This window comes from Homo sapiens, chromosome 2 (assembly GCF_000001405.40).
Source record: "Homo sapiens chromosome 2, GRCh38.p14 Primary Assembly".
In the NCBI taxonomy this organism is placed as follows: Eukaryota; Metazoa; Chordata; class Mammalia; order Primates; family Hominidae; genus Homo; species Homo sapiens.
In genome coordinates this window covers 64,891,472-64,916,277 of record NC_000002.12, presented here as the reverse complement: position 1 = coordinate 64,916,277, position 24,806 = coordinate 64,891,472, and the positions used below count along the sequence as shown (strand labels likewise).

Genomic DNA, 24,806 nt, shown 5'->3' with positions numbered 1-24,806 from the left:
CTGGCCAGAGAGGCAAAGTGACTTGTTGCAGAGCCACAGAGCTGTTCCTGGCAGAGGGAAGGCTTCAGGTTCAAGGACAGCATTCTCCCTACCATGCCACATTTTGTTCTAGGCCCACTGACCTTCAAAAGAAAAATGTACATTTCCAATTTTGGGAAATCCAAGCTGGGTGTGGTGACATGTGCCTGTAGTTCCAGGTGCCCAAAAAGCTGAGCTGGGAGGATCATTTGAGCCTGGGAGGTTGAGGCTGCAATGAGCCGTGATTGCACCACTGCACTCCAGCTTGGGCGACAGAAGGAGACCTTGTCTCTAAAAAAAAATAATAATAAAAAAAAATAAAAGAAAGAAAATCCTCTATAAACAAAATGTAGCTGTTGGTAATAGTCAAATGCTATTTATTACTTTATACAACGTTTGAGGCAGTTAACCAGGTTTAAATGTTATCCAATTTCCTGAGGGAATTAACTGATTTTTGGCTACATTTGCAAGACCTGCATCACACGAAAAGAATCATCCCTTTTTATGGGATGTTTTGCAACACGAAGTTCTCTGGCAAAACCAAATTAAGACCAACCCCTGTTCAGGCCTCCCTGGTGTGTAGCTGGTGTCTTACCACATGGACTTCAGTGGGTACAGGTGTGCAAAGCAGTGATGGTACTCAGACAGACAACTGAACAGGTTGTTCTGTATCACACTGGAATGAAGGATTTACTTGATCTTTGAAAACATTTTTTTTCTGGTTGTAAGGCAATATATGTACATTATATAGAACTTGAAAATTGCGGGGAAAATACTGTGTTAGTTATTTGTTGTTGTGTAACAGGTTATCTCCAAAACCCAGCAGCTTAAAATATCAAACATCTGTTATCTCACTATCACTGAGAGCAGCTCAGCCAGGTGGTTCTTTTCTTCCTCTTTTATGGTCTCGTCTGAAATATGCTGGGTAGTTCTGACTCAGGGAGTCTCAAGAGGTTGCAGTCCAGATGTTGTCAGGGCTATTCTCATGTGAAGCCTTGGCAGGTTGCAGGATCTGCTGCTTTTTCAGCGTTGTGATCATAGCTCACTGCTGCCTTGAACTCCTGGGCTCAAGTAATTCTCTAGCCTCAGCCTCCCAACTAGCTGGGACTACAGATGGATTGCATCAGTGGCCTGCTAGGGTCTGGTTCTAAGCTCACTCATGTGGCTGTTGGCAGGAGGCCATGGCTGGGCCCCTCTATAGTGCTTCTCAGGACAAAATTTCCCTTAAGAATAAATGATGTGAGAGAAAGAGCAAGAGAGACAGTGTCCAAGATGGAAACTACAGCCCTTTATATAGCCTCAGTGGGGAGTGACGAACCTTCACTTCTGCTGTATTCTATAGGTCACCCAAACTCGCCCTGTTACAGAGTGGGAGAGGGCCACACAAAGGTCATGAGTACCAGAGGTGGGGTCGAAAATAAAACTCACCTGCAACCTCACTCTCCATAAACAATCACCGTGACATTATGAGGTGATTCCATATACATCTATTTACATGTACAGATTTTTTTCTGACTCTTACTTCATATGTTATTGTCCATATTTCCCCTCTATCTCCCTTTTCAGATGGAAATCCAGCTTTATTTAACCTCCTTTCCCTGAGGAAGAGGTACATTCAATGTTTATTATTATTATTATTACTTTGAGACAAAGACTTGCTCTGTCGCCCAGGCTGGAGTGCAGTGGTGTGATCTCGGCTCACTGCAACCTCCGCCTCCCGGGTTTAAGCAATTTTCGTGCTTCAGCCTCCTGAGTAGCTGGGACTATGAGCACGCATCACCACACCCGGCTAATTTTTGAAATTTTTTTTTTTTTTTTAGTAGAGACGGGGTTTCACCAGGTTGTCCAGGCTGGTTTCTGGTTTCCATGTTGCTGGTATCCCCTTATTCGATTATTTCAGCAAGGCTGATGTACTTCTTCCTCTTGAAAAACTTAAACTCATTCAAGAGTATGTGTTCTGAGGGGCAGGTGGGAGAGAAGGAAGAAGGCAGAAAGGAGAGGTGAGAATGGGGGGTGGGTGGTGTGGCAAGACTTCCGGGGTGACGCTGCAGAGGGTGCCTCTGAGGAATCGAGTCTCCGGGCCCACCAAGATTGATTCGTGTACCCCAGCCAGATGGGGGGCTTCCACGGACTGTGTGGAGTGGAAGAAGGCTGTATCCATGGACTCAAAAATCACAGGAGAATGCCAGTGTTTTGCAGCTATGGACGAGAGACCCCAGCACAACCATGGCAGTGGGAAACCCTAAAAATAACTGGGGACAAATTTTTATCAGGATGAATGAGAGCTCAGAGGCAGGACTAAGTTGATTAAAAGGAAATAAAGGAATCAAATATGTCTTGCCCATATAGTTTGTGGACTTATTCATACCTGCTACACACACACACACACACACACACACACACACACACACAACATTCTTTTCAAACTGTCATTTGTAGTCTTATTTTTGTATCTACCTTTTTTTCACTTCGTTTATGTAATGGACATGATGTAATGTCATTATCTGTACTTCCCAACCGTGTCCACAAAGTATTTTGTCATTTAGATTGCCACACATCACAATACGTCTGGCTTCACCTTCTGGGAGCAAGAAGCCAGGTTGCATTCCTTTTACTACCTAGAGATCCCACGCCCTGTGAACATCTCTGGAGAAACCTTCTCTTCCCTCCCAGGGAGCCCTTGGCCTTCATACTCCTAAGTCCTCATCCCCAGATACCTGCTCAGCCCAGCAGGCCAGCCAGTGCTGGGAACTCTCACCTGGGGGCCGGAGAATAGGGACACTGCTCCTCCCTCAGGAGTCTGGGGCTTCCTGGCTGCCACCAGGTGTCACCAGCAGCTTGGCAGGTGGGTGCATTTCCTGTCCCCAGCCACAGCAGAGACTCAGGCTCTTTCCTTCACCCTAGAATGGAGCTATTGGTTACCATGTGCAAGTTTTGTAAGAATGAAAGGATAAAGAAAAAAAAAGATGAAAATTATTGCAGCAATCATTGAGGCTGGCCACTGCATATTCTTATTCTGCCCCCCTGGAAGCATGGTGAAATCGTACTTCCCCGCCTTCTGAATCAGTGTTGGAGGCCAAAGAAAAGCGAGTGGAAGTGACACAGGTCACTTCCCAGTGGCAGGCTCACCAACCAATTTGCAATTTGCCACATTTTCCTTCTTCCTGCCACTACTGCTGTCCCGGTTCCAGACGGCGCCACTCCATCCGCTAGGCTCCCTGAGTAAGGAGGACATGGAGGACAGTCCCTAGCCACCCCAAGAAGGGCATGTAGGATGGATACAAAATAAATCTTTGTGGTTCTAAGCACTGAGATTTTGGCGTCGTTTGTTACCACAGCATAACTTAACCTGCCAAGATTGGTTAAACTTCTTTTTTTCAAAGAGACAGGGTCTCACTTTGTTGCCCAGGGTGGTCTCAAACTCCTACGCTCAAAGGATCCACCTGCCTTCTCCTCCCAAAGTTCTGGGATTACAGGCGTGAGCTACCATGCCTGGCTTATTAAACTTTTTAATAAAAGGATGAACCTACTCATGATCATAGAAACTTAACAGAAGGAAGGAAGGTGTGCAGGCCATTGGGATCATTTTAGGGTTCTTCCTCTTTCCTCATTCACTAAGAGGACGGCTTCAATGCCTGAACACTGCACAGAACACTTGCCTTTCCACTCTTTTAGGATCCAGCTACTTATTTTCAGGCCATCTCTGCAGGCCTCCATCCTGCTGTATCCTGAAGGAGATCTGGATTCCCATTCTGTCAGGTAACCATTACACAACTTGGGGTTTTCATAAGCAAGATGGCAGACAGAGCTCCAGGAAAGCTGCTCAGAAAATGCCATGGGCAACATAAAGAAGATGAAATTCTCGGCAAGGTGCACATTGAAACTTTTCTCCTGTAGTGCATTGGGAATAAAGGCAGGGTGGACCCATCCATCAGGCACAGCTGGGGCAGAGCCCAGAGTTCATGATAATTTTAGTGGCTCATGAAAATGCTTCAATTTTTTTTTAACTAGAAGACAATGTTTTAATATATAATGTTAATACAGACATACCGTAGGGGAGAAAGATTTCTCACTCATCACAAGGTTCGAGGCTGAGGCACCTATAATAAAAGACAGATTAACAAGAGAAAAGCACACAAATTTATTTAATACAAATTTTATGTGGGCTGGGCAAGGTGGCTCACGCCTGCAGTCCCAGCACTTTGGGAGGCCAAGGCAGAAGGATCACTTGAGCCCAGGAGTTCAAGGCAAGCCAGGTAACATAGCCAGACCTTGTCTCTACTAAAAATTTTAAAAATTGGCCAGGTGCAGTGGTGCACACCTGTAGTCCCAGCTACTTTGGAGGCTGAGGTTGGAGGATCACTTGAGCCAAGGAGGTTGAGGCTGCAGTGAGTTATGATTGTGTCACTGCACTCCAGCCTGGGTGACAGAGTGAGACTCTCTCTCTCTCAAAAAGAAAAAAAAAAAGAAGATAGAAAAAGAAAATTATATAACATGGGAACACTCAGAAATGAAGGCCCAAAGAAACAGAAAAAACTGTGTATTTTATAGACAGCCATGCAGAAGTATGATTGGAGGATAAAAAACTATGATCTAATGATATTAAACTGGAAAGTACTTAGCAAGTCCTGTTTAGATTCTTTTTTGTGTTCCTGTGTCTTCAGAGAAAAGGAAATTCCTTTCCTTGGGTGTAGGAAGGACATCTCTGGAATGAAGATTTTCTTCGGAGGAAGGTCAGATAATTCTCTTAAGGCCCTCTTCAGGGGAGCAGAGTGAGGAGAAGGTGAGAGTGGCCTCCCTGCTTCTGCTGTTTTCTCAAATGCCAACGTGCTATATTTGTGGATACTATGTCTTGAACTCTGTCAGTATCAACTTAGTAATATAGTTCTTAGTACTATTTATAGAAGAAAGGGATGATGAAGGCAAAAATGGAGACCCACAAAAGTCATACTCTGGCCCTGGAGAAAGAGTTTAAGAGTTTCACAACCAATACACATGTGGGTTACAATGTGGTTCTTGGAAATGAGTATAGACATGGCATTGCTGTGACCTATCATGTCTTTTCCTTTATGAGTCTGTCAAAATTTCCCATGACAAACTAGCTCTATGTTGCTTCTTTAAGGTTAACTTAGGACACCAGAAGGCCATAACTGCTGGGGGAGGAGTCATGGGTCAAAACAGTGTGCATGGATATAGCAGATTGTGAGACAGCATAGGGACAGGACTCAGCCCTCACTGGAATGAGGCCCCCACTCCCACACCTGTCAATTAGCAGACTTTGCACCACCATCACTCTAACGCATCCCCGCTGACCTTGCGATCTTGAAGAATCTAAGATAAGCAGCATCCACCCTAAATCTTACTCAAGGGAGTTAATCCTACAGCCTGCATGCACATAAGATCCGAAGAATGATATTTGCCCCTTGCCTCATTATAATACTAAAATCCCTGCCCAGAGGAGGGCTTATCTGCTATTTTCTGCTCACACAACAGTATGTGTTGGCATGATTCCTTACCATGCCTGCACACCCTGTACTCCACCCCGCACATGTAGTGAGGCTCACCTACCTCATGAATTATGCATGTCACCCTCCTTAAGACACCGAAATGCACTCCCCTCAGTGGGGCCAGCCAAGAACTCTTGCTTGTGGGCTAGTTTCCTTGTGTTGGAGCACAAGCGCCCATAAAGTCTTGTCTGGGAAACTTGTTTGGCCTCCTGTCAATTGCTATTGCATGGGTGCCTAAGAACCTGTGGTCGGTAACAATTCCTCTAGCTTGCTTCCCATGCTTGTATTTTCCCTTCCTTCTTCCCAGCAGCCTCTGACTTCTGAGAGGAGTCCAGTAGGTTCCAGGGAAGCCAATTCCATACCTGGTTCCATGGGTGGGGTGTGGCCCTAGGCTCAGCCCATTAACCCTGCCCACAATGAGGTTCTGTGGGTGGTCACCATTCCAGTCCAGCTAGAGTGAGTCTTAGAACCACGGACAGGAATGCTGGGTGTGAACATCCTTTCCTAGATGGCAGGCTGTGCAAAGGGGAATCTGCGTTCCTACCCAATTTGCTGCTATGATCAAAGTCAAAGGAAATCTCAGAGAAACTGAACCGGAGTCTTGATCAAACCACACCTGAATGCTACCATTAGATCTTTTGAATTACATAAGCCTGTAATTTCCCTTTTCCTGTTAAAGCCCATTTGGATTGGGTTTTATGTTAGTTTCAACAACCTTACTGGAACTAAATGTATTCTTATTATCTCCACTTTATAAATTAAGAACAGAGGGGCGAAGTCACTTGCCCAAAGCTGCAGAGCAAATTCGTATATCGTATAGAAGCCAGGATTTGATCCCTCGCAGTGTGACTCAGAAATTATCCAGATTTATCTCTCTCTCTCTTTTTTTTTCTTTTTTTTGAGATGGAATTTTGCTCTTGTTGCCCAGGCTGGAGTGTAATGGTGCAACCTCGGCCCACTGCAACCTCCGCCTCCTGGATTCATGCGATTCTCCTGCCTCAGCCTCCTGAGTAGTTGGTATTACAGGCACTCACCACCCCGCCTAGCTAATTTTTTGTATTTTTAGTAGAAACGGGGTTTCACCATGTTAGCCAGGCTGGTTTCGATCTCCTGACCTCAGGTGATCCGCCCGCCTCGGCCTCCCAAAGTGCTGGGATTATAGGCATGAGCTGCCACAACTGGACCCCAGATTTATCTTAACGTGTGCTTTGCATTGATCTAAAAGGCTATGTTTTCAAAGATTTCATAAGTTTCATCCGCAATGCTCCAAGCGTGGGTTACCTAATAAACAGCATAAGTATGAACAGATCTAAGTAGAGAAAAATCAATGCACACAAGAATTTTGTTGGCCAGGTGCAGTGGCTCACACCTGTAATCCCAGCACTTTGGAAGGCCCAGGCGGGCAGATCACTTGAGGTCAGGAGTTCAAGACCAGCCTGGGCAACATGGTGATACCTCATCTCTACTCAAAATACAAAAAAATTAGCTGGGTATAGTGGCAGGCACCTGTAATCCCAGTTACTTAGGAGGCTGAGACAGGAGAATCGCTTGAACCCGGGTGGCGGAGGTTGCAGTGAGCCGAGATCATGCCATTGCACTCCAGCCTGGGTGACAGAGCAAGACTCTGACTCAAAAAAAAAAAAAAAAAAAAAGAATTTCGTCCTTCTGTGTATATGTCTTCTTTAAGGAGCTACCCCATTCTGGGAAAGCACGGTTGGTACCATGTGAAAAGGTGCCCCCATCACCACATTTACAAAGCATGAGATCAGGAATTTAAAAGGCACCTTCACTGCCTCCCATCTGCCTCCCCCACACTTGTCTGATCCCCTCTTCCTACCACGTGTGTCCTCTCCTTCCTTCAGTTTCACACACGATCCAATTCTCTCAGCCCCCAGCATGGGTTGCCTCCTGGTTGTGCCTCCTTGACTCAGCCCATCCCTGGACAACAACAGCTCCTTCCATGGCTTTACTTAGCTCCCTGGACCTCGCCTTCCAGGTCTTCTTAAGCAGCTCAACCCACCCCTAGTCCCACCTTCAAGGAATGAACTTGTATAATATTCTCTCTGATCCTTTTGCAGTTATGCATAATGACTGGGTTTTCACGCTTATGAATGAGATGTGCCTCCCTCAAACATTGTTATATGTCAGCACATTATGCATCTGACATGAGAAAAAAAATTCTCCCTTGCTTCAAAACACTTTTGCAAATTCTCTTCTATGTGGAAAACAAACACAGAGAGGAAGTAGAGATGATGAATGTGGACAACTCATTTGAAAACTTGGGGTGAGAAGGAGAAAATTGAGATTGGGCTGTTCTTAGGGGGGATAAGGTGTGCAGGAGTAGACTTGCTTGCTGTACCCTATACCCATTCTCCCTCCTGGTACATTAATAGAGTCTCTGTGTTTAACTGGTATATTAGGGCATTCTTGTATTGCTATAAAGAAATACTTGAGACTGGGTAATTTATAAAGAAAAGAGGTTTAATTGGTTCATTAATTTATAAAGAAAAGATCTCATGTGAACTAAAGTGTGAGCTCGCTTATTACCAAAGAGATGATCCAAGCCACTCACGAGGGATCCACCCCCATGATCAAAACACCTCCCACCAGGCCCCACCTCCAGCATTGGGGATTACATTTCAACATGAGATTTGGGCAGGGACAAATATCCAAACGGTATCAACTGGGTACCAGAATAATGGCTGATCCCCAGCCTTCCTTGCAGCTAAGCATGGCCATGTTGCTAAATTCTGGCCTGTTGGGAGGTGATTGGAAGTCACACCCTCATGTGGAAGGGCTCTCCATCTCCCCATCCCTCTTTCCCGATGCTGCTTACAGCAGTGAGAGTTATCATGAACTGTGGAGACAAGGCCACCCCTAGGAATGGTGGAGTGAGGACCCTTAAGAAGCTGAGCTCCCTGCCACTAAGGTATTGCCCTGCCAGCTTATGTGAGAAATAAGTAAACTTTCATCTTGTTTAAGCTTTTTAAGTGGATTTGATTATTTGGGGACTTTATAGCAGTCAAACCTGCTTCCTAATTAATAGTGGTGGATAAAAGGATCTTCACTTTCTTATCTTTAATGAATTTTGAACGTAGTCTGATGCCAATTGGAAGAATCCGGGAAAAAGTGAGGTTGAAAATACAGAGTGATCTGGAGTGATGGTTAATGCAAGTGTCCTGAGAAGGCAGGAGGAAAGAGGTGAAAGGGTGTGGGGGCGCTGGCCTTGAGGGACTGCGCCACCTGGACAAGGGGAGGGCAAAATGGGAAGCTGGATTCAGGAGACTTGAGATTTGGCAGCAGGAAGTTGAGGCAGTTCCTGCCTCATGCTTCTGATTTTTCAGCAAAGCAGGAGGCAAGGTCCTCTATGGAGAAATCAATCCAGAGCAGGAAGGTAAACCTGACAGAGCTTATGTAAGGGCTCAGAGGTGGTAGCGTGGGCTGGGCAGCCCTTCCATGACTGTCTGCATTTATGTTGTCTAAGAGCACAAGAGCTAAAAACCAGACACTGTGACAACTTAACTCTATGTCAAGTACTACACAAGGTCATCACTGAATAGGACTTGAGAGTAAACATTTGTTCTATGATTTTGATCTTTAAAAATAAGAATATAGCTGGGTGTGGTGGGCACACACCTGCAGTCATAGCTACTGGAGAGGCTGAGGCGGGAACAGTGCTGGAGCCCAGAAGCCTTGGGCTGTAGCACACTGTGACCATTAGGTGTTTGCACTAAGTGGAGCGGGGGTGCCACCAGGTTGCCTAAGGAGGAGTGAACCAGCCCAGGTCAGAAACTGAGCAGGTCAAAACTCCTGTGTTGATCAGTAATGGGATTGCACCTGTGAATAGCTACTGTACTACAGCCTGGGCAACATTGCAAGACGCTGTCTCTAAAAAAAATAATAATAAGAAATAAATAAAAACTAAAAAAATATATAAAACAGGTTGAAAGCCTTATTCAATATATCCAATTTATCAAAATTTCTAGCTAAAATGTATTCATTGTCTGCAGTTTTCAAATTATAACAGGTCCTTTTGTTTTTTTAAAAACAATGGCACAATTAATGCCTAAATAAAACACCTATGAGTGGTATCGGGGCTCAAAAACCAATACCCCAAAATATGGCCATTTGTACATGTTGAACTGAAAAAGGAGCCTCAAGGTCTCTCTGACCTCCCCTTCCCCACCCATCTCTCCCAAAGCATAGGAGGACGCTGTTCTCTGAAGCTCCCTTTTCTGCCTAAAGTCTGCACCTACCAAAGATGAAAAGAATTGCCTTTAGCCCCTTCTCTGAGTTTTCATTAACTGAATCCATATTATAGGAAAAAAGACTAGTGTCTGCCCACACACCTGATGGACTTTTGTCACAAACCATTGTCCATTCTCTGGGCCCAACAAGCTTTGCCCCAGGCCATTGTATGTTCTTCAAGCCCATTGAATTCCCCTAAACATCATTTACTACTCCTCTAAAATCATCCACACTTCCCCATCGCCCTTTCCCCTGAGAAGAAGGGTATCTTCCTCTGAAGCAAGTTAGAGAAAAAAAAAGAATTAGACCATATAAGCCTCTACACCCCACTGGGGGGTTGGGTCTTCACCCTAAAGCCTCCCTTATCACGTTAACTCTAATAAAATAAATGTGTATGTTCTTCCTCCACTGAATCTGTCTTTTGTGAGTCGAATTTTCAGCAAATCTTCAGAGGGCAACAGTGGAGTTTTTTCCTTCACCCGAACAGTGGCCATTTTCATTGTGAATCTGGCATGGTTAGACGCGATGCTGAGCTTTTTACATGGCTTAGCTCTCCAAACTATAAAATAGGTGTTTTTATCCTTATTTTATAGACAAGGAAGCTGATGCCCAGAAACATTAAACAACTTGCCCCAAATCACACAGCTATTAAAGGGTCAAAATTTGAGCCAAAGTAGATCTGATTTCAAAATCTGTGCTCTTAACCACGCCCACTGCCTTCTCTTAGTGCAGGCCAGTCTAAGTTTTGCTGCCCTTCTAGAAAGTTATGGGATCTTTATGGAAACAGAATTTCTGGTGGCCTGCCTGATATCTCAGGGTGGCCAGCTGAGAAATCAGGTTAGACACACCCTCGGCCCCTCCCCATTCCAATTTGTGCTGCAACAAGCGCTGGCCTACAGCCCTGCACTTTCTTCACACTGCCAGGCATGTAGCACTACTGTGGGCTGGCAAAGACCTGCCTGCACCAGCAAGGGCCTCCGCCCAAAGTGTAGGGCAGCTGTGTGCAGGTCTGCACAAAAACAGTCTCCAACAACAACACCTTGTGGCAGCCACTGAAACAATCGTCAGGGGAGCTTCCCCATTCTCTCCATCAGACCTGCAGACACAGTACTGACTTCCTGGAACCAAGTGCTTAGGATTCTTAGGAGGTTTAAAGGGATGTTTAGATGATCAGATTTCCTGCTTATAAAGGTAGATGGGAGTTAATGATAAAAATGAGAAACATGGCCTTATTTGCACCTCAAGGCAGTCATACATTATATTTGTATAGATTGCTACCTCTGGGACTGTCCCCAGAACAGGACCCAGAACATGGAGACATGTGTCAGGTAGCCAACTGTCCTGGGCTGCCTGCTGTGTTGTCTCCTAGGACTTCTCCAGCTCCATTTACAGTCTGGCTCCTGGGCCTTTGGATCCCAGCAGTGTCCGAGCAGGAGCTCAAAGGACAGCCCCACCATGGGGGATCAGCCCTAGAAGCTGTCACTACATCTCCAACGGACGCAACTATTTTCCAGGTAATAAAGCTGCAGTGAATGCCACCTGTCAACTAGTTCCTTTCAAATTCTGACTTGGTTTGGTAAGTCTGTGGCTTGTTGTCATACCACTGGCAGAAAAGGCCCCTTCCCTGTAGTCAGACTGTAGAGGCCACAGGGGCTCTTCTGAAAGAGGAAGCAAGCTCTTTTCCAAGCGTTATTTTTATTTGTTGTACATTTTAGCAGATTAAGCACTTAGGGTTGGGATTTTAAAAATATTTCTTCTTTGGGCCAAGGAGTGTTTTCACACAGCTAAGTTCTTTGTATAAAGCTGCTCCAAATCCCTGACTAATTAATTCCTAAAGAAGCAGCACGTGGCTCACAATGACTGGCACCCCCTCTTTATAAACAGGAACACCGGGGGAGAGAGCCAACAACAGCACAGTGGCCCCGGACCGTGACCCTTGGACTGAAGGAACCTACAGATGTGGTTTTTTTTGGTGACATTTTACATGCAACTCCAGATTTCAAACTCTTTTGGAGAAGCAGGCAATCTGGCAACAGTCGTTTTGGATTCTCAGAAGGCAATAAAGAACAGCTGCCACCTTCCGAGGGGCACGGTGGATGCCCTGTTCTGCCAGAATTGCCAACACGTTTATCGTCTTAGACTTGCCCAAGGTGTCGCAGTTAGAGACTGCCTCCCTTATTCACGCTCCTGCCTGGTGCCCGTGGGCTTGAATTTGCTCCCCTTGGAGTGGGGTGAGGCTCTGCAGACACTTCTCATACACCTCCCCTGCAGACAGCAAGCTCCTGGAACACAAGTCACATGCATTTCATTTCCTGCTCTCTTGCTACCACCCAACATGGGCTCTCAATACATGTTGAAAGCAAGGATCAATGAATAAATGGGCAACTATCAGCTGTAGACTTGTATGTGCCAGGTATGGTGCTAGGCATGCTAGGCACCAAAAGGGCCACAGAGGTGTTACATGCCAGGATATCAGGGAGTTCATGACATAGTGAGGGAAAGAAAAAGCTTATGCAGTGTGTGTGTGAAACTTTAAGCAAACATGGTGCATAACAATAACAGGAATGACTTTGCCTGCCCCTGATGAAACTTCAGCAGGGCTATGCCCTGTCTTGCCACCTTTAGGAAACAGCAGTCTTATAGTCCTTTGCCCCTCTGAGTTACAACCACTGTCTCCTTTCAGGAGAATGCCCAGTGTTATATCATAATCAAGGCTTTGAACTTGATGTGGCATTACATGTTCTTCCATCTCCCCAGCCACCTGAGAAGGGAGATGGGGTAGCTTTTCTCTCTCACTCTCTCTCCCCCAACCCCTCCTTTTCCCACCGGCAGGTGAATGAGCTTCCTGCCCATAGGAGAAAGGGTAAAATCACAAGGTGGTGCCCTTGTCTCCAAATCTCAAGGTCCTCTGGATGGCAGGTGAGTAAAGGTGACTCTTGTGATTATGGGTGTTTTGGGTGTTCCTCAGAGATCCCCCAAACTGGGGTCTTGTCCACCATTCCCAGGACTCTGCCATGTGGAGCCATGGGAATGTGAAGTTCACCTCACACTTCCTTTCAGCTGAGGTCACCACACAGCCCCTACCAGCCCGGCTATATTGGGTGGGATTTCAGATGCCCCCACAATGGCTGCCTTGGAGACTTTCCACTGGTCCTCAAGAAGCAACAACGCTCCCCTTGCTCTGCCTTTGGTGGAGGGCAATTCCTCCTCTCTCTCTGCCTGGCCCCAGGCTGCTTCCACTGTCTCAGAAACTGGTCCCCGGATTCCCCCAGTTACAGAGAACCCTCATCAAGCTCTCAAGTGGCCACTGAAACCCAGGCTCTCTAGGCTCTGGAGTATGGAAGTGACAGCTCCATTTAATTTCTCCTTTCCTCTTGTAGGCTTACAGCATAGCACTCTCCCAAGAAATCATCCAAAAATTACCTCAACCATTCTATAGACCCCAAGCTGACCAGGGGAGGGAGGACCAAGAATCTTGAAACGTAAATACTACATTTGATGGTCTCCTTCAGACTTATTTTGGGATCTGATATCTCTTTAACAAAAATTATAAAAATTGAGGCAAAGAGAGCCCCATTTTTTATATACTGTTCTAATAAATAACAGGTACCCTTAGAAGAATGCAGACAAACACTCCTATGGAAATTTAAAGGAGCATAAGACTTCTTGCAGTATAGGGAGAGAACCAAGGAAGACTTCCTGGAGGAAATGGCCATTGAACTGGGCCTTGGACATGTGGAGGTGAGGGATGAGAGTATTCCAGATGAAGAGTCCAGCATAGGGAAGGCCCACAGGAAGGAATTGTGCTGTATTAATGCTGTCTTAGAGGCATTTCCATTGCCAGACACAGATACTCAAATTACTTCAGAGAGAGAGAGAGAGAGTATTGAAAGGGTTTCTGTGAATACCTCCACAACTGTGGTTCTCAAAGTGTAATCCCTGGGCCAGCAGCATCGGCATCACCTGGGAACTTGTTAGAAATGCAGATTCCCAGGCTGGGTGCAGTGGCTCACGCCTGTAACCCTAGCACTTTGGGAGTCCGAGGTGGGTGGATCACCTGAGGTTGGGAGTTTGAGACCAGCCTGACCAACATGGAGAAACCCTGTCTCTACTAAAAATACAAAAAGCCAGGTGTGGTGGCGCATGCCTGTAATCCCAGCTGCTTGGGAGGCTGAGGCAGGAGAATCGCTTGAACCCGGGAGGCAGAGGTTGCGGTGAGCCGAGATTGCACCACTGCACTCCAGCCTGGGTAACAAGAGCGAAACTCCACCGAAGAAAGAAGAGAGAGAGAGAGGGAGAAAGAAAGAAAGGAGAAAGAGAGAAAGAAAGAAAAAGAAAGAAAGAAAAGAAAAGAAAAAAGAAAGGAAAAGAAAAGGCAAATTCACCAGAGCCTTTGAATCAGAAAAGAACCCCCAGGGGCTGGTGGTAGCAGTCCTTGCACAGGCCCTCCAGGTGATTCTCATCCAGGGAAGCCTGCGAGCCCTTGAGGTGGAATATTCTCAGGAATCCCTGAGATATGTGAAGAACTGATGGCATAGGCTATTTCTAGGGAGGAAATGGGGCTGCTGGGTGCACAGATGAGGGGAGGTGGGAGACCTCTGTAATTGTGTACCATGTGCATATATTACCTATTCAGAGAATAATAAAACAATGCGTTTAATCCCCCGTCTTCCTCCATCTACTTCTCTCGTACCCCATAGCTGCTCTAGCACCTCCACCTCCCTCCTCAAATGGTGTTCTTTGCTTCCTAGGCAAGCTGGTTTTCTGTTCTCCCTTCCCCGGTCTTCTCTTGCCTGGTCTTTATTACAAGGTGTGCTAAGCCTCATAAGGACAGTTGAAGAGAAAAGAAGTGAGACTGTGCTAGTGGCTATAGAATTCTGCCAGGAGAGCTGGAGGTGGGGAGGAAGACTATGAATTCAACCATGCCAATAATTTCAGTCAAAAATTAAGAAAAAGCCCATCTCCGCCCCCTTTTCGGTTATCAAATATGCATTGTTTTCCTCTTTTGTTGGGCTTTTGTGTCTGTTTCATTCTCACCTTGACTCAGCCCCTGTGAGCTTCAACTCTAAGCCTAACTCCAGCCACGGAGAAACCACGGAGAGGTTTGTCCAGTGTCTGGAAGATGGACTGACTGCTGAAACAGGAGCAAGAAGAACCTCCTAGCAGGTCAGACATACCCAAAGACAGCCACATGGAAATGGACACTGTTGCAAGGACGTGTGTCCAGCAGAGCAGGGGCAAATGCCCCTGGTGCTATAACTCCTTAAAGGCTCAAATATCTCTGCTGACCCAGTGAGTGCCCCTCAGCTTGTGGTGTGAGACTGAACTTACAGACACCACCTCAACTCGAGGAATTCAATGCAGTGATGAGCTGATTTATGGTGTTTGCCAATTCCTGTGGTGTAAATAACTCATCGCATGGCCAGTTTCAGGCTACCAATGTGAAGTCACTGAACCCAAAGTTTGGAAGAGATTTACATAACAGTGGACATAGTTACTGGGCTTCATAGAGAAAGCTACTAAACACAAGTGCCCCTGGGGTCCAGAAATCAACTTCTGGTTGGAACTGACCTATATGGTGCCAAGTGTGCATCTTCTAGGAGGACACTAGCATTAGCATGTCATCCGCCAGTCTTGCAACAAGCCTTTTCCGTAAGAGCCTTTGACTAACATTTGTTGAATTTTGTATTCACTGGGGGCTGGACGTGGTGACTTATGCCTGTAATCCCAGCACTTTGGGAGGCCAAGGCGGGCAGATCACTTGAGGTCAGGGGTTCAAGACTAGCCTGGCAAACATGGCTAAACCTTGTCTCCACTAAAAATACAAAAATTAGCCGGGCGTGGTGGCACACGCCCATAGTCCCAGCTACTTGGGAGGCTGAGGCAGGAGAATCACTTGAACCCAGGAGGCAGAGGTTGCAGTGAGCCGAGATTGTGCCACTGCACTCCAGCCTGGGTGACAGAGTGAGACTCCATCTGAAAAAAACAAAACAAAACAAATTTTGTATTCATTGAGCCAACTAATTTATTGATTTTTCATTAAGTTTTTTTTTTCTTGAGATAGAGTCTCACTCTGTCACCTAGGCTGGAGTACAGTGGTATGAGCTTGGCTCACTGCAATCCCCGCCTCCTGGGCTCCAGCGATCCTCCCACCTCACCATCCTTAGTAGCTGGGAACACAGGCACGCACCATCACACCCAGCTAATTTTTGTATTTTTTGTAAAGACAGGGTCTCACTGTGTTGCCCAGGATGGTCTTGAACTCTTGGGCTCAAGCGATCTACCTGCCTTGGCCTCCCAAAGTGCTGGGATTACAGGCACGAGCCTCTGCGCCTGGCCTTGATTTTTCTGAGTGCTATGAAAGAAATAAGCAATTATTATGGGTTTTCCTCCTTTAGGATTAATGAGTCAGTGAAGGGCCAGAAGAAGGGTCCCTTGTAGAAAGTTGGGCAATATTTACACGTCATAATGAGGAGAGAGGCCATTTCTCTTACTGTCTCCTGTCTCTGAAGAGAAGGAGGAAGTAAAAGTTGAAAAACAACAGGAATGAAGTCAGTGGCAAGACCAGCCAGTGCCACTGATGACCAGGCCTGAGGTTAAAAGATTAACCCCCGACTCTAACCGCATGTGCTCTCAATCTATCACGACCCTTTCACATGGAACCCCTTAGAGTTGTAAGGCCTTAAAACTCTGGCTTCCTGGAGCTCGGTTCTTGAGACGCGAGTCTGCCAAAACTCCCCGCCGTTGAGACGCGAGTCTGCCGAGGCTCACAGCCCAATAAAGCCAAATCCTTCGTAGCCGGGTGTCTGAGGGGTTTTGTCCGCGGCTGTCCTGCTTCATTTCTTGGTTCCCTGACCAGGAAGAGAGGTGGTTGATGGACGGTCGAGGCAGCCCCTTAGGCAGCTTAGGCTTGCCCTGGGAAGTATTCCTACGGGGGACTCCGGCCAGCTTGAGCGATGCGGATCCTGAGAGCGCTCCAGGGTAGGCATTTGCCTCGGTGGAACGCCTCGTCAGAGCAGTGCACTGCAGGCCCCCGCGGAGGATCAATGCAGCAGCCGAACACCGGGAAGGAACTGGCGCTTGGAGTCTGGACATCTGGAATACGGTAGGCCCGGTCCTGGGAACTTGCCCACTCGATTTGAGTGGAAGCGTGGCCTGATCACCCACAGCCCACCTTTGTCGGCACTTTGGTTTTGGTTTTGATTCTTGACTTGGTTTGAATTGCTTAACAGGCTGGTTCTGGGAATTTGCCCACTCCATTTGAATGGAAGCGAGGCCTGATCAACCACGGTGTGCCCTTATCAGCACTTTGGTCTCAGTATTGATTTTGATTTGGCTTGACTCGTTTGCAAAAAGGAAAGTGAAAGTGAGTGAGTGCTTGAGTTTAAGATGGGCGAGACAAGTGAGTGACCCCTTTACCCTTTCCTTCTTGTGGTGGGAGTGTTGTTTTGTCTCGGGAGGAAGATGGGTGCAACGCAAAGTAAGCGCCCACTCCGCTAGGAACTATGTTGGAAAATTTCAAGGAAGGATTTAGTGGAGACTATGGAGTTACTATGACACCAGGAAAACTTTGTGTGAGATAGAGTGGCCGGCATTAGAAGTGGGTTGGCCATCAGAAGGAAGTCTAGACAGCTCCCTTGTTTCAAAGGTGTGGCACAAGGTAACTGGTAAAGGATACCTAGACCAGTTTCTGTACATAGACACTTGGTTACAGCTGGTTTTAGACCCCTGCACCGTGGTTAAGAGGACAGACGTAGAAGTACTAGTGGCAAAGGGACAGACAGCCAAGGAAGAATTCCGCTCCACCCACTGAAGGGAGTAGGCTCCTAAAGTTCTGTCCGACCCAACATAAGAGAAACAATGCTAGTGCCCCCCCACCCTTTCATCAAGAAGGAAGGCCTCCACAAGGCCTATATACCCCTAGGCCACCCAGAGTAGAAAAGAAAGGATGCGAGACCTCGGGAGAAACCCCTCCCTTGGCAGCCCGTTTGAGGCCTAGAACTGGGATACAAATGCCTCTGAGAGAGCAATGGTATACTAGGGTAGATGAGGACGGGCATATGGTGGAAAGGCATGCCTTTGTGTACCAGCCCTTCACCTCTACCAATCTCCTCAATTGGAAAAACAATACCCCATCCTATACCGAAAAGCCTCAAGCTATAATTGATTTGCTCCAAACTATTATCCAGACCCACAACCCCACCTGGGCTGATTGCCACCGGTTGCTTATGTACCTCTTTAACACAGATGAAAGGAGGAGAGTGCTCCAAGCAGCAACTAAGTGGCTGGAAGAACATGTTCCAGCTGATTGCCAAAACCCCCAAGAGTATGTGAGGATCCAATTACCAGGAACAGACCCCCAGTGGGACCCAAATGAAAGGGTATGCAAAGGCTAAACCGGTACAGGGAAGCCCTTCTGGAAGGGTTAAAGAAGGGAGCTCAGAAGGCCACAAATGTTAACAAAGTCTCTGAGGTCACTTAAGGGAAAGATGAGAGCCTGGCACAATTCTACAAGAGACTATTCTACGTAAGGCCTATCGTATGTATACTCCCTTTGATCCCAATAGCCCTGAAAATCAGCATATGATTAACATGGCTTTAGTCAAAGTACAGAAGACATTAGAAGAAAATTGCAGAAACAGGCTGGGTTTGCAGGCATGAATACGTCACAGTTATTGGAGATAGCCAACCAGGTGTTTGTAAATAGAGCTGCAGTAAGCCGCAGAGAGAACTGCAGAGAGCAAACAGCAAGCCCGGCGAAACACCGACCTGCTAGCTGCAGCTATTAGAGGGGTCCCTCCAAAGGGCGAGAGAAGGGGGCCCCAAGAAAAATACCCAGTCTGGCCATCTACGCTTGCAGCGTAATCAGTGTGCTTACTGTAAAGGACATTGGAAGGACAAGTGCCCCCAGTTGAAAGGGAAACAAGGTGACTCTGAGCATGAGGCCTAAGGCAAGGATGAAGGAGCCTTGTTCAATCTGGCAGAAGGGTTACTGGATGGAGGGGGACCAGGTTCATGTGCCCCCAAAGAGCCCATGGTCAGGATGACAGTCTGGGGGCAAGGACATTGAGTTCCTAGTCGATACTGGTGCTTAACATTCAGTAATGGCCACCCCGTCACCCCCTTATCCAAAAAGACTATTGATATAATTGGAGCCACAGGGGTTTCGGCAAAGCAAGCTTTCTGTTAGCCCCGGACCTGTACCATAGTGGGGGCATGAAGTGATTCACCGGTTCCTGTACATGCCTGACTGCCCCTTGCCTTTGCTAGGAAGGGACCTACTTAGCAAACTGAGAGCCACCATCTCTTTTACAAAGCACAGCTCTTTACAGCTAAAGTTACCTGGAACGGGAGTCATCATGGCCCTTACGGTTCCTCAGGAGGAGGAATGGAGACTCTTCTTTTTATTATTATTATTATTACTATTATACTTTAAGTTCTAGGGAACATGTGTACAACGTGCAGGTTTGTTACGTATGTATACATCTGCCATGTTGGTGTGCTGCACCCATTAACTCGTCATTTACATTAGGTATATCTCCTAATGCTATCCCTCCCCCCTCCCCCCACCCCAGGACAGGCCCCGGTGTGTGATGTTCCCCATCCTGTGTCCAAGTGTTATCATTGTTCAATTGCCACCTATGAGTGAGAACATGCAGTGTTTGGTTTTCTGTCCTTGCGATAGTTTGCTCAGAATGATGGCTTCCAGCTTCATCCATGTCCCTACCAAGGACATGAACTCATCCTTTTTTATGGCTGCATAGTATTCCATGGTGTATATGTGCCACATTTTCTTAATCCAGTCTATTATTGTTGGACATTTGGGTTGGTTCCAAGTCTTTGCTATTGTGAATGGTGCTGCAGTAAACATACATGTGCGTGTGTCTTTATAACAGCATGATTTATAATCCTTTGGTTATATACCCAGTAATGGGATGGCTGGGTCAAATGGTATTTTAGTTCTAGATCCTTGAGGAATCGCCACACTGTCTTCCACAATGGTTGAACTAGATCACAGTCCCACCAACAGTGTAAAAGTGTTCCTATTTCTGCACATCCTCTCCAGCACCTGTTGTTTCCTGACTTTTTAATGATCACCATTGTAACTGGTGTGAGATGGTATCTCATTGTGGTTTTGATTTGCATTTCTCTGATGGCCAGTGATGATGAACATGTCTTCTTTTGAGAAGTGTCTGTTCATATCCTTTGCCCACTTTTTGATGGGGTTGTTTGATTTTTTTTTTCTTGTAAATTTGATTGAGTTCTTTGTAGATTCCGGATATTAGCCCTTTGTCAGATGGGTAGATTGCAAAAATTTTCTCCCATTCTGTAGGTTGCCTGTTCACTCTGATAGTAGTTTCTTTTGCTGTGCAGAAGCTCTTTAGTTTAATTAGATCCCATTTGTCAATTTTGGTTTTTGTTGCCATTGCTTTTGGTGTTTTAGACATGAAGTCCTTGCCCTTGCCTATGTCCTGAATGGTATTGCCTAGGTTTTCTTCTAGGGTTTTTATGGTTTTAGGTCTAACATTTAAGTCTTTAAATTAATCCATCTTGAATTAATTTTTGTATAAGGTGTAAGGAAGGGATCCAGTTTCAGCTTTCTACATATGGCTAGCTAGTTTTCCCAGCACCATTTATTAAATAGGGAATCCTTTCCCCATTGATTGTTTTTGTCAGGTTTGTCAAAGATCAGATGGTTGTAGATGTGTGGTATTACTTCTGAGGGCTCTGTTCTTTCCATTGGTCTATATCTCTGTTTTGGTACCAGTACCATGCTGTTTTGGTTACTGTAGCCTTGTTCTTTTTGCTTAGGATTGTCTTGGCAATGTGGGCTCTTTTTCGGTTCCATATGAACTTTAAAGTGTTTTTTTCCAATCTGTGAAGAAAGTCATTGGTAGCTTGATGGGGATGGCATTGAATCTATAAATTACCTTGGGCAGTATGGCCATTTTCACGGTACTGATTCTTCCTATCCATGACCATGGAATGTTCTTCCATTTGTTGGTGTCCTCTTTTATTTCATTGAGCAGTGGTTTGTCGTTCTCCTTGAAGAGGTCCTTCACATCCCTTGTAAGTTGGATTCCTAGGTATTTTATTCTCTTTGTAGCAATTGTGAATGGGAATTCACTCATGATTTGGCTCTCTGTTTGTCTGTTATTGGTGTTTAGGAATGCTTGTGATTTTCACACATTGATTTTGTATCCTGAGACTTTGCTGAAGTTGCTTATCAGCTTAAGGAGATTTTGGGCTGAGATGATGGGGTTTTCTAGATATACAATCATGTCATCTGCAAACAGGGACAATTTGATTTCCTCTTTTCCTAATTGAATACCCTGTATTTCTTTCTCCTGACCGATTGCCCTGGCCAGAACTTCCAACACTATGTTGAATAGAAGCCGTGAGAGAGGGCATCCCTATCTTGTGCCAGTTTTCAAAGGGAATGCTTCCATTCAGTATGATATTGGCTGTGAGTTTGTCATAAATAGCTCTTATTTTGAGATACGTCCCATCAATATCTAATTTATTGAGAGTTTTTAGCATGAAGGGCTGTTGAATTTTGTTGAAGGTCTTTTCTGCATCTATTGAGATAATCATGTGATTTTTGTCTTTGGTTCTGTTTATATGCTGGATTATGTTTATTGATTTGCATATGTTGAACCAGCCTTGCATCCCAGGGATGAAGCCCACTTGATCATGGTGGATAAGCTTTTTGATGTGCTGCTGGATTCGGTTTGCCAGTATTTTATTGAGGATTTTTGCATCGATGTTCATCAGGGATATTGGTCTAAAATTCTCTTTTGTTGTTGTGTCTCTGCCAGGCTTTGGTATCAGGATGATGCTGGCCTCATAAAATGAGTTAGGGAGGATTCCTTCTTTTTCTATTGATTGGAATAGTTTCAGAAGGAATGGTACCAGCTCCTGTTTGTACCTCTGGTAGAATTCAGCTGTGAATCCATCTGGTCCTGCACTTTTTTTGGTTGGTAGGCTATTAATTATTGCCTCAATTTCAGAGCCTGTTATTGGTCTATGCAGGGATTCAACTTCCTCCTGGTTTAGGCTTGGGAGGGTGTATGTGCCAGGAATTTATCCATTTCTTCTAGATTTTCTAGTTTATTTGCGTAGAGGTGTTTATCGTATTCTCTGATGATAGTTTGTATTTCTGTGGGATTGGTGGCGATATCCCCTTTATCATTTTTTATTGCATCTATTTGATTCTTCTCTCTTCTTCCTAATTAGTCTTGCTAGTGGTCTATCAATTTTGTTGATCTTTTTAAAAAACCAGCTTCTGGATTCATTGATTTTTTTTTTTTTTGAAGGGTTTTTTGTGTCTGTATCTCCTTTGGTTCTGCTCTGATCTTAGTTATTTCTTGCCTTCTGCTAGCTTTTGAATGTGTTTGCTCTTGCTTCTCTAGTTCTTTTCATTGTGATGTTAGGGTGTCAATTTTAGATCTTTCCTGCTTTCTCTTGTGGGCATTTAGTGCTATAAATTTCCCTCTACACACTGCTTTAAATGTGTCCCAGAGATTCTGGTATGTTGTGTCTTTGTTCTCATTGGTTTCAAAGAACATCTTTATTCTGCCTTCATTTCATTAGGTACCCAGTAGTCATTCAGGAGCAGGTTGTTCAGTTTCCATGTAGTTGAGCGGTTTTGAGTGAGTTTCTTAATCCTGAGTTGTAGTTTGATAGCACTATGGTCTGAGAGACAGTGTTCTATATTTTCTGTTCTTTTACATTTGCTGAGGAGTGCTTTACTTCCAACTATGTGGTCAATTTTGGAATAAGTGTGATGTGCTGAGAGAAATGTATATTCTGTTGATTTGGGGTGGAGAGTTCTATAGATGTCTATTAGGTCTGCTTGGTGCAAAGCTGAGTTCAATTCCTGGATATCCTTGTTAACTTTCTGTCTCGTTGATCTGTCTAATGTCGACAGTGGGGTGTTAAAGTCTCCCATTATTATGTGGGAGTCTAAGTCTCTTTGTAGGTCTCTAAGAACTTGCTTTATGAATCTGGGTGCTCCTGCATTGGGTGCATTTATATTTAGGATAGTTAGCTCTTCTTGTTGAATTGATCCCTTTACCATTATGTAACAGCCTTCTTTGTCTCTTCTGATCTTTGTTGGTTTAAAGTCTGTTTTATCAGAGACTAGGATTGCAACCCCTGCTTTTTTTTGTTTTCCATTTGCTTGGTAGATCTTCCTGCATCCCTTTATTTTGAGCCTATGTGTGTCTCTGCACGTGAGATGGGTCGCCTGAACACAGCACACTGATGGGTCTTGACTCTTTATCCAATTTACCAGTCTGCATCTTTTAATTGGAGCATTTAGCTCATTTACATTTAAGGTTAATATTTTTATGTGTGAATTTGATCCTGTCATTATGATGTTAGCTGGTTATTTTGCTCATTAGTTGATGCAGTTTCTTCCTAGCATCGATGGTCTTTACAATTTGGCATGTTTTTGCAGTGGCTGGCACCGGTTGTTCCTTTCCATATTTAGTGCTTCCTTCAGGAGCTCTTGTAAGGCAGGCCTGATGGTGACAAAATCTCTCAGCATTTGTTTGTCTGTAAAGATTTTATTTTTCCTTCACTTATGAAGCTTAGTTTGGCTGGATATGAAATTCTGGGTTGAACCTTCTTTTCTCTAAGAATGTTGAATATTGGCCCCCACTCTCTTCTGGCTTGTAGAGTTTCTGCTGAGAGATCCGCTGTTAGTCCAATGGGCTTCCCTTTGGGGGTAACCCAACCTTTCACTCTGGCTGCCCTAACATTTTTTCCTTCATTTCAACTTTGGTGAATCTGATAATTATGTGTCTTGGAGTTGCTCTTCTTGAGGAGTATCTTTATGGCATTCTCTGTATTTCCTGAATTTGAATGTTGGCATGCCTTGCTAGGTTGGGGAAGTTCTCCTGGATAATATCCTGCAGAGTGTTTTCCAACTTGGTTCCATTCTCCCCGTCACTTTCAGGTACACCAATCAGACGTTGATTTGGTCTTTTCACATAGTCCCATATTTCTTGGAGGCTTTGTTTGTTTGTTTTTACTCTTTTTTCTCTAAACTTCCCTTCTAACTTCATTTCATTCATTTGATCTTCAGTCACTGATACCCTTTCTTCCAGTTGATCGAATCAGCTACTGAAGCTTGTGTATGCGTCACGTAGTTCTTGTGTCATGGTTTTCAGCTCCATCAGGTCATTTAAGGTCTTCTCTACACTGTTTATTCTAGTTAGCCATTCATCTAATCTTTTTTCAAGGTTTTTAGCTTCTTTGTGATGGGTTCCGACATCCTCCTCTAGCTCAGAGAAGTTTATTACCAATACTCTGAAGCCTTCTGTCAACTCGTCAAAGTCCTTCTCCATCCAGCTTTGTTCTGTTGCTGGTGAGGAGATGTGTTCCTTTGGAGGAGGAGAGGTGCTCTGGTTTTTAGAATTTTCAGCTATTCTGCTCTGGTTTCTCCCCATCTTTGTGGTTTTATCTACCTTTGGTCTTTGATGGTGATGTACAGATGGGGTTTTGGTGTGGATGTCCTTTCTGTTTGTTAGTTTTCCTTCTAACAGTCAGGACCCTCAGCTGCAGGTCTGTTGAAGTTTGCTGGAGGTCCACTCCAGACCCTGTTTGCCTGGGTATCACCAGCGGAGGCTGTAGAACAGCAAATATTGCAGAACAGCAAATGTTGCTGTCTGACTGTTCCTCTGGAAGCTTCATCTCAGAGGGACACCCGGCCATATGAGGTGTCAGTTGGCCCCTACTGGGAGGTGTCTCCCAGTTAGGCTACTCAGGAGTCAGGGACCCACTCAAGGCGGCAGTCTGTCCGTTCTCACATCTCAGAGTCCGTGCTGGGAGTCTTTGAAGACTACTCTCTTCAAAGCTGTCAGACAAGGACGTTTAAGGCTGCAGAAATTTCTGCTGCCTTTTGTTCAGCTATGCCCTGCCCCCAGAGGTGGGGTCTACAGAGGCAGACAGGCCTCCTTGAGCTGCAGTGGGATCCACCCAGTTCAAGCTTCCTGGCTGCTTTGTTTACCTACTCAAGCCTCAGCA

General features: G+C 45.3%; 1 long non-coding RNA gene, 1 other non-coding gene and 1 pseudogene across 2 annotated transcripts in view, besides 4 other annotated features; all 3 read left to right on the top strand.

The window, feature by feature from the left end:
- The window catches only part of LINC02245 (long intergenic non-protein coding RNA 2245), a 30,608-nt gene extending 16,170 nt beyond the window's left edge, over positions 1-14,438 (top strand). The window contains exons 2-3 of the long non-coding RNA NR_036586.1: positions 11,143-11,287; positions 11,658-14,438. This is a non-coding gene — a long non-coding RNA (long intergenic non-protein coding RNA 2245). The remainder of the gene's footprint in view (positions 1-11,142; positions 11,288-11,657) is intronic.
- Positions 707-786: an enhancer, noted in NCBI's record as "active region_15913". NCBI's record gives its function as "activates an Ori minimal core promoter by ATAC-STARR-seq in GM12878 lymphoblastoid cells {active_cell/tissue: GM12878}" and the evidence as "EXISTENCE:reporter gene assay evidence [ECO:0000049][PMID:35858748]".
- Positions 4,833-4,882: an enhancer, noted in NCBI's record as "active region_15912". NCBI's record gives its function as "activates an Ori minimal core promoter by ATAC-STARR-seq in GM12878 lymphoblastoid cells {active_cell/tissue: GM12878}" and the evidence as "EXISTENCE:reporter gene assay evidence [ECO:0000049][PMID:35858748]".
- Positions 7,592-7,691, top strand: LOC124906172 (small nucleolar RNA U13). Its single transcript, XR_007088759.1, has one exon. It is a non-coding gene; the product is annotated as a small nucleolar RNA U13 (small nucleolar RNA).
- Positions 9,140-9,415, top strand: RN7SL211P (RNA, 7SL, cytoplasmic 211, pseudogene; annotated as a pseudogene).
- Positions 11,489-11,783: an enhancer, noted in NCBI's record as "tiled region #15627; HepG2 Activating non-DNase unmatched - State 4:PromP". NCBI's record gives its function as "activates a minimal TATA promoter and a strong SV40 promoter by Sharpr-MPRA in HepG2 cells {active_cell/tissue: HepG2}" and the evidence as "EXISTENCE:reporter gene assay evidence [ECO:0000049][PMID:27701403]".
- Positions 11,976-12,170: a silencer, noted in NCBI's record as "fragment chr2:65131242-65131436 (GRCh37/hg19 assembly coordinates)". NCBI's record gives its function as "represses an EF-1alpha promoter that drives an FKBP-Casp9 reporter gene in an ReSE screen in phorbol 12-myristate 13-acetate-treated (for megakaryocytic differentiation) K562 erythroleukemia cells {active_cell/tissue: K562(+PMA)}" and the evidence as "EXISTENCE:reporter gene assay evidence [ECO:0000049][PMID:32094911]".
- Positions 14,439-24,806: the final 10,368 nt, after the last annotated feature.